The sequence below is a fragment of the Homo sapiens genome, chromosome 1 (assembly GCF_000001405.40).
Source record: "Homo sapiens chromosome 1, GRCh38.p14 Primary Assembly".
NCBI classification, from domain to species: domain Eukaryota; kingdom Metazoa; phylum Chordata; class Mammalia; order Primates; family Hominidae; genus Homo; species Homo sapiens.
In genome coordinates, this window is record NC_000001.11 from 165,984,927 (window position 1) to 165,993,645 (window position 8,719).

Sequence of the window (8,719 nt, forward strand, 5' to 3'; positions counted from 1 at the left end):
TCTACCCTCTTTTTGAGCCTTCATATTGCCTGAGACACAATATTGAAATTAGGCCAATTAACAACCTTAACAATGGCCTCTAAGTGTTCAAGTGAAAGGAAGAGTCACATGTTTCTCACTTTAAATCAAAAGGTAGAAATGATTAAGTTTAGTGAGGAAGGCATATCAAAAGCCAAGATAGGCCAAAAGTGAGGCTTCTTGTGCCAAATAGTTAGCAAATTGCAAATGCAAAGGAGAAGTTTATGAAGGAAATTAAAAGTGCTATTCCAGTGAACAAACACACAAATGATAAGAAAGCAAAACAGTCTTATTGCTGATATGGAGATAGTTTGAATGGTCTGGATAGAAGATCAAACCAGCCACAACATTCCTTTAGGCCAAAGCCTAATCTAGAGCAAGGCCCTAACTCTCTCCAATGCTATAAATGCTGAGAGAGGCGATATAGCTGCAGAAGAAAAGTTGGAATTCAACAGAGACTGGTTCATGAGGTTTAAAGAAAAAAGTCATCTCTATAACATAAAATGCAAAGTGAAGCAGCAAGTGCTGATGTAGAAACTGTGGCAAGTTATCTAGAAGATTTAGCTAAAATAATCAATGAAGGTGGATACACTAAACAACAGATTTTCAATGTAGATGAAACAGCCTTCTATTGAAAGAAGATGCCATCTAGGACCTTCATAGCTAAAGAGGAGAAGTCAATGACTAGCTTCGAAACTTCCAAGGGCAGGCAGATCCTTTTGTTAGGGGTTAATACAGCTGATGGCTTTAAGTTGAAGTCAATGCTTATTTACCATTCCAAAAATTCTAGGGCCCTTATGAATTATGCTACATCTATCTACTCTGCCTGTGCCCTATAAATATAAAAACAAAGTGTGTATGATAGTACCTTTATTTACATAATGGTTTACTGAACATTTTAAACTCACTGTTTAGAAATATTGCTCAGAAAAAAAGATTCCTGCTCATTAATAATGTACCTCATCATCCAAGAGCTCTGATGGAGATGTACAAGGAGATAAATGTTGTTTTCATGCTTGCTAATATGACATTCATTCTGTAGCCCATGCATCAAGCAGTAATTTTGATTTTCAATCTTATTATTTGAGAAATACATTTCATAAGGTTATAGCTGCCATAGATAATGATGCCCTGATGGATTTGAGCAAAGTAAATTGAAAAACTTCTGGAAAGGCTTCACCATTCTAGAAGCCATTAAGAACATTTGTGATTCACTTGAAGAGGTCTAAATACCAACATTAATAGGAGTTTGGAAGAAGTGAATTCCAATCCTCATGGATGACTCTCAGGGGTTCAAGATTTCAATGGAGGAAGTCACTGCAGATATGGTAGAAATAACAAGAGAACTAGAATTAGAAACGGAGCCTGAAGTTGTGACCGAATTGCCGCAATCTGATGACAAAACTTGTATGGATGAGGAGTTTCTTCTTATGGATGAGCAGAGAAAGTGGTTTCTTGAAATGGAATCTATTCCTGTTGAAGATGCTGTGAACATTGTTAAAATGACAACAAAGAATTTAGGATATTCCGTAACTATAGTTGACAAAGCAGCATTAGGGTTTGAGAGGACTGTAAATTCGAAAGAAGTTCTACTGTGGATAAAATGCTATCAAATAGCACTGCATGGTATAGGGAAGTCTTTTGTGAAAGGAAGAGTCCATCAATGGGGCAAACTTCATCGTTGTCTTATTTAAATAAATGCCCACAGCCACTCCTACCTTCATCACCCATCAACATGGCTGCCATCAACATGGAGGCAAAAAACCGTATCAGCCAAAAGATTATGACTTGGTGAAGGCTCAGATGATTATTAGCCTGTTTAAAGCAACTAAATATTTTTAAAATTAAATATGTACATGGTTTGTTAAAACATAATGCTATTGCACACTTAACACACTATACTCTGGTGTAAACATAACTTTTATATGCACTGGGAAACTAAAAAATTTGTGTGACTCTCTTTATTGTGAATTTGCTTTATTGTGGTGGTCTGGTACTAAAGCTGAATTATCTCCAATATGTGCCTGTATTTTCCTTACACATTTCTTGACTCAATTTGCTATATTGTATTTAGATTTTTTTTTTTGTGGATATATATCTGCAATTTTTAAAAACATATTTTCTATGTTGAGTGTAGGTAGCCTAATACTAATCTCATAACATAAATTGTGGAGCTTTCATTCTTAAATAAATATAAGAAAAAAATTGATCAAAATAGAAAAAAGCAAAATTAAATCAAAATAGGACAAAAATCCTGTGGCACATAAAAAATGTAATATACAACTGTAAAAGCAGGCTACATATAGCAATAATTACACTAATATAAAAGAATTAAACTCATTTGTTGAAAGAGATATAACTTCTTTACAAAATGAACACCTTCAATATAGTGACACAAAAAGTTTAAAAGCAAAAAGATAGAAAAAGATATACTAGGAAAACCATAACCAAATTAAAGCTGGTATAGCAATTAATATTGATTAAACAAAATGGACATTAAAACAGGTGCTACTGGGGGACCATGAGCATTATTACAGAATAATAAAAGTAATAACAATTTATAAGAAAATATAACAATCCAGAACCTGTATGTGTATAACAATATAGTATCAAACTAGATAAAGTGAAAATTAGGATAATTATAAAAATAAATGAACAAGCACACACACAATGGTAAGCAAACAAAGCAACTTGATACTACTGAGCTGTTGAGCACAACTGTCTGGAAGCTACACTTTCTCTAGAGCTCTAATTAATAGAGATAATACATTTCCTAATTTCAAAGCCCATTTGAATTAAAGTTTTGATACCTGCAGTCAAGTATCTTAACTGATGCACAGTGCTGTGGGTCCTACAAACTCAAGTAGTTCAGGTTTTAATATCTAGATGACTCTTTGTCCTTGCCATCCAGAGTTTGAGATAAAGACTAAACTTTCTTTTTTTGCATTTTTATCATTTTATTTGATTTTCTAGAGTTGTAATCTTATCCCTAAATCACAGATGAAAAAAATGAGGTTAAAAAGTTATGAAGGACCAAGGCTTATATATTGGAATGTGATTCTTTGTTGCTATGCAATTGTGAGTTATAGCATGAATTATTTAGCCTTTTCTCTGACCATTTTATTTAATAATTTTTTTTGTTAAAAAAATGGCATTGCAGTGTAGACCTTGGAATAAATACCATTGAGAGGAGGAAATAACCAAAAATATCCATAGGGAAAATGACTGTTCTTCAGAATACAAAGTCTAAGCTCAACCCTATAAATGATTTTTATTCTCAAGTTGTATATTCTTAGTACTTGTACAGCAGATGTCTGACTCACTTTGCTATACCGTTAGCAGTTGTACTAGTTATCTACTGTCATGTAACAAATTACCTCAACATTTAGCAGTTTAAAACAGCAAACCTTATTTCACAATTTCTTTGGGTGAGGAATCCAGATGCATCTTAGTTGGGTCTGCTGGGTCAGGTTCTCTTGTTGGGCTACAAGGAATGTGTCTGGTGGGACTGCAGTCATCCCAAGACTCCACAAGGGGGAAAGTTGACATGTAGGCTCCCTCACATGGCTATAGACAGAGCTCAGATTGATAAAGACCAAACTTTCTAACTACTTCTCTAGACTAGAGGTATGGGAGTGAAATGGGATCTTTCTGGTTCTCTCTACATGGACATAGAAACCCTTAAAGCTTCTTACATTTACAGGTCTTGGCTTCATTTCCCTATTTTGGCTGACCCCGTCCCGGAGATGGCCTTAGGTTTCCATGTCCCAGCCCCTTGAGCTCACATCTAGGTACAGTGCCCTCGTAGTCCTTCTCTGTGGGCCTATTTGGAGTGTACTGCTTTGGCTCTGAATTTCTTCTTTGCTTTCAGTACTTAAAGACTTCACTTTCTTTCCAGCCTGGCTATGTGTGTAAATGTTTTTCTTGGTTATATATTTATATGGCATTTTTATGTAGAGGCCTCAGGGAGGCAGGCTTAAGCCCGTCTGCCTTGTTGCCAGATCTGTCTCATGGTTTCCATTTTTATAGACTGGGGAACTGAGGTGTTGAGACCTCAGTCTTGCAGTCTTGCTCTAGGGAGCCAGAAGTCACCCAAGCATTTACTAGTAAGTGAGTCTAGAATACAGTTTTCACTTTCGTACTCAGTGCATATTCCACTGAGTACAGACTGAGGAGGTAGTATTATTAATAACATTAGTAATAATTAATATTATTACTATAATATCACTTATTAATAAGTGATATTATTAATAAGTTAAACACAGGCATGTACCAGAAACAATGCTGTGAACAAAATGGTGCCCAACTCCAGGCATGATGAACAATAGCTTGTACATGATGAACATAATAAGTGTATGGGAGAGTAGCTTACATTCATTTGCCTTAGAGCCTCAAGGGCAGCTATCATTCTTTATCAAAAGAAACAAAGTGTTGTGCATGACCAAATTGTCTTAGGTCAGTTACCAATAGTCATATGAGGCTTGAGGTGTTAATTGGACATTCAAGGGGAGATGTCTAGTAGTCAGCTGGTTGGTGCATGTAGATAAGAAAGATAAAAGGGCTAAGGACAGATCCCTGGGGCTGTGCAACATGCACAAATTGAGGAGACAAAGAGGAACTAGCAAATGAGACTGAGAAGAAGTGACTAGTGAGGTAGAAGGAAAACAGAGAATGGTATCCAAAAAGCAAAGTGAGGAAAGAGGGAGGGAGTAATCAACAATATTAAATGCTGCTGATAGATCGAGTAAGATAAGACTGAGAAGTAGCATTGGTTTTGGACAACATGGAGGTCATTAGTAATTCCGATTAGCACAGTTTTGGTGGAATGTTGGGGATATTGGCCTAATTAGGATGGGTTCAAAAGGAAAGGATGAGAGAAAGTGCAGAAAATGAGTGTGCGAAACTCTTCCAAAGTTTTGCTTTGTGATAACCATATAGCTGGAAGGAGACATGGAGTCCAGGGAACATACTTTTTTGTTAAATATGAAAGATATTACAGTGCTTCAGTATAATGATGGAAATGATCCTTTAAAGAGAAAAATATAACGATGCAGGGGAGAATAAGATAAATTGCTAGAATGATGTCCTTCTATAAGTGAGAGGGAATGAGATACTGTGGATAAATGGAGAGGTTGGCCTTAGATTAGGAGCGCAAATGGAATTATTGTTGTCAACCATTGGTTCACGAGCCAACCAGAATCAAGGAAGGGCTATGAGTTTCATTCTGCTTAGGACTATTCAAACACCACTGACCCATGACAACAGCACTCCTGTTCCTCACCACACATATCATAATTGTCCTTTAACTCTCTGAATGCTTCGAAGACTAGCAAGATATTAAGCTGGTTACTTTTTTTTTTTTTTTTGAGATAGAGTCTTGCTCTGTTGCCCAGGTGGGAGTGCAGTGGCACAGTCTTGGCTCACTGCAACCTCCACCTCCTGGGTTCAAGCAGTTCTTCTGCCTCAGCCTCCCGAGTAACTGGGATTACAGGCGTGCACCACCACTCCTAGCTAATTTTGTATTTTAAGTAGAGACGGGGTTTTATTATGTTGGCCAGGCTGGTTGAGAACTTCTGATCTCAATTGATCCACCCGCCTTGGCCTCCCAAAGTGCTGGGATTACAGGTGTGAGCCACTGTGCCAGGCCAGTTACTTCTGTTTTAAAAAATCCCAAAAAGAAGTTAATCCACATGGGCTGGGGAGAGGATATCAGTCAAATACTGGGACTTGGCTTTAAATTCCAGCAGCTGGACACATAGAGAGTGTTTGCATACTTACCTAAAGAGAAAGGCTGGTGAGGGGTCCCTGCGCTTCTGGACAGCGGGACCCCATTCAATTATGTGAGTAGAACAAGAAGTTTAAATGTAATTCTTAAGATTGGTCCTTGCAAATTTCACTCCAGGATGTGACATTATTTATTGGAAATTAATTGGGTACTGGTTCTATGCCAGCGCTTGGGGAAAAATGATGAGTGGGCATTGTCTTTACATCTTCAGAACTCAGAGCCCCGTGGGAAGTCAGACACCTACTTCATGGGGCAGAGTGAGAAAAGCTTCCAGTATAGATGTGAGAAAAGGGCTAAGAAGCTCAGGGGAAGCAACTGTAGGACTTGGAGTTAATGGTGGAGGGGTGACAACCTCTACTGATTAATGAGGAGGAGAATGAAGAAGGCATGGCTTGTGCTGGCTTGGCAGTAAGAATGCCCAAGCCAGCAGCTTCAAGGCTAATTAAGTGAAAAATGATGCAATAGATTTGTTTGCTTCCAGCCAAGTGGAACTTGGTCAATGTGAAAAACCAACGAGTTTTAAATTTCTCCACTTTGAGCCTAGTAGATGATTTCTGTGCTTTGAGCCTACTAGATGATTTCAGCCTCTTCCTCCAAACATGCACTCTGATGTTGAAATGTTATATTATTTAAATATTTAAAATGCATAGCTGCAACTAGGCAAATGAGACTGCACCACCCACAATAAAGTATGATGGTCACCCTTGGGTGTGTGGAAGTAGAGGGGGAGGTGGGGGCGTTGAAAGGGTGACAGAAAATAGCACGGTTGAATCTGTTTAGGTAGGTCATTCTAGTTGTGCCAAAGGGGATAAATTGCAATGAGTAAAACAAGAAGCCAGGGGCCTAAGAGGAGGCCACAGTGCTTGTTCAGGCAAGAACTGGGGATGGAGGTGGTAAAGTAGAGGAAGAAACATTTCCAGGAAGTAGACAGGACCTGGGATCCTATTTCACTCATGACAAATCTGCAGCACAAAAATTGATGACAGTTGTTTCATAATGAGGTTCAGACCTCAAACTCAAGCAGTTTACTGAGTTTGCTGAATTCAAACAGTTTCCTACCAAATCCTGCATTTTAATTTAATTTTAACAAAAACCTTAAAAATGGCAATAATCTGCTAAGCCCCATGTATGTTTGGTTTTGGGGTTACAAAGAGGAAGAAGGCATAGATCTACCTCTGAGGATCCTCAGTCTCATCTGGTCTAGTGGGGACAGATACATGAACCATGATCACAGTAGTGTAGGAGAAACGTGGCTATGTTATGCATAATATGTTGTGGGTGCAAAGAGGACAGCCCAGGCCTAAACTTCCCAGTGGAGTCAAGGAAGGATTTCATAATTTCAAAGGATGAGTAGTAGCTTTCTAAATGATGGATCGGGGCAAGAAGGGGATCTTAGACAAAGGGAAAAGTATGGGCAAAGGCACGGAGATGTGGCAGTGTGTATCATGACCAGAGGCATGTGGCATAATGGTAGACAGTGGGGACTGGAGTTAGATTGTGTTTAAATTCTGGATCTTTCAATTCTATGACCTTGTGCAAGTTATTTAACTTCCTGTGGCTCAGTTTCCTCATCTGTTGAATGTTGTTATTAATACATAGGGCTATTATGAGGGTTAATAATACTACCTGTAAATTACTTAGAACAGTTCCTGGTATGTTGTAAATTCTCAATGAATGCTAGCAGTTATTATTTGAAAACATATTTGGGAGTTAAAGAAAGAGGGATGCGGAAGACTGGAGGGTGTAGCTATTTGCTGTTACTGCTTTTTCTTTAGAATATTAATGGGTGTCAAATACCACAGAAGAGAGGGCTCCTAGGACCAGACAATGCTTTAGTAAAAAAGAGACATTAAATTTTTTAGGACTTGGAGGAAGAAATTTGAACTCCAAAACAAATGGTGAAACCTGGTCTTTAGTCCGGGGCGTTTCAGTCCATCCTCTGGAGCAAATCGACTAATTACACATTGCCACAGTTCAACAGCTGGATTCAAACAACATATTCCTCTGTGAAGCCATTCCTCACTCTCACTGATTTTAAGGACAAGGCTTGTCTAATAAATTGGAAGAAATAATAAAACATGAGCCCCCAGTGTGGCCTCTTCCTGGGTACAGAACAGTGCATTGGGTTTCATTGAGCCTCCCTTTCAATCTGTGCAAACTAATGGTTCCCCTTTATTCCCCAAGTTATACTTAACAACAATTGTGTTGGGGAAATGCTGGTCTAGTTGAGACCCCCAGGCCTCCAGTAAAGGAAAGAACTGAAAAGTGCTGAGATTATTTACTCATTTGACTTGTACAACAGTTTCTCTTTGGGGCATTTTGTTAGTCAAGTTTCTGAATCAATAATTTCTGCTTTTGGGGGGATAAGAGGATGACCATTGTGGAACTTCTCTTTGTATTTATATTAAGAGGCATCAATGACTAATGAAAGTGCATTTTTTTTCCTCCCATCACCTCTACTTTCCCATTCTAGACCCATCAATGTTGGCCAAATCTCACTAGAGTTTCTTAGTTGGTGAGAAGCATTCACCACACTCTGTCTCTACTGGGTCTCTGGGGACTGGAAACAAAACAATGAATTGAAGAAGCATAAAATAAATGTGTTAAACACCTTCTCTGTGCTGTGTTCCCAGCTAGGCACTGTGAGAAATAATAGTAGCTACCAATGTATTGAGTGTTTGCATATGTGTGCATGTGTGTACATGCCAGCCTCTAAGCACTTTACATTCATATTCTCATTTAATCTTCACAAGTCTGTGAGGTAGGAATTGTTATGTCCAATTTACTGATGAGGAGGCTGAAAGTAAGAATTTAAATAATGTATTCAAGGTCATTATTTAGGCAGACGCAGTATTAGGACTTGAACACAAGTCTTGCATATTCCAAAGGCCTCTTCCTTAACCACTGTGATACCCT

The 8,719-nt window shown here is 38.3% G+C and overlaps 1 annotated feature.

Moving 5' to 3' along the window:
- Positions 4,070–4,209: a silencer, noted in NCBI's record as "silent region_1506". NCBI's record gives its function as "represses an Ori minimal core promoter by ATAC-STARR-seq in GM12878 lymphoblastoid cells {active_cell/tissue: GM12878}" and the evidence as "EXISTENCE:reporter gene assay evidence [ECO:0000049][PMID:35858748]".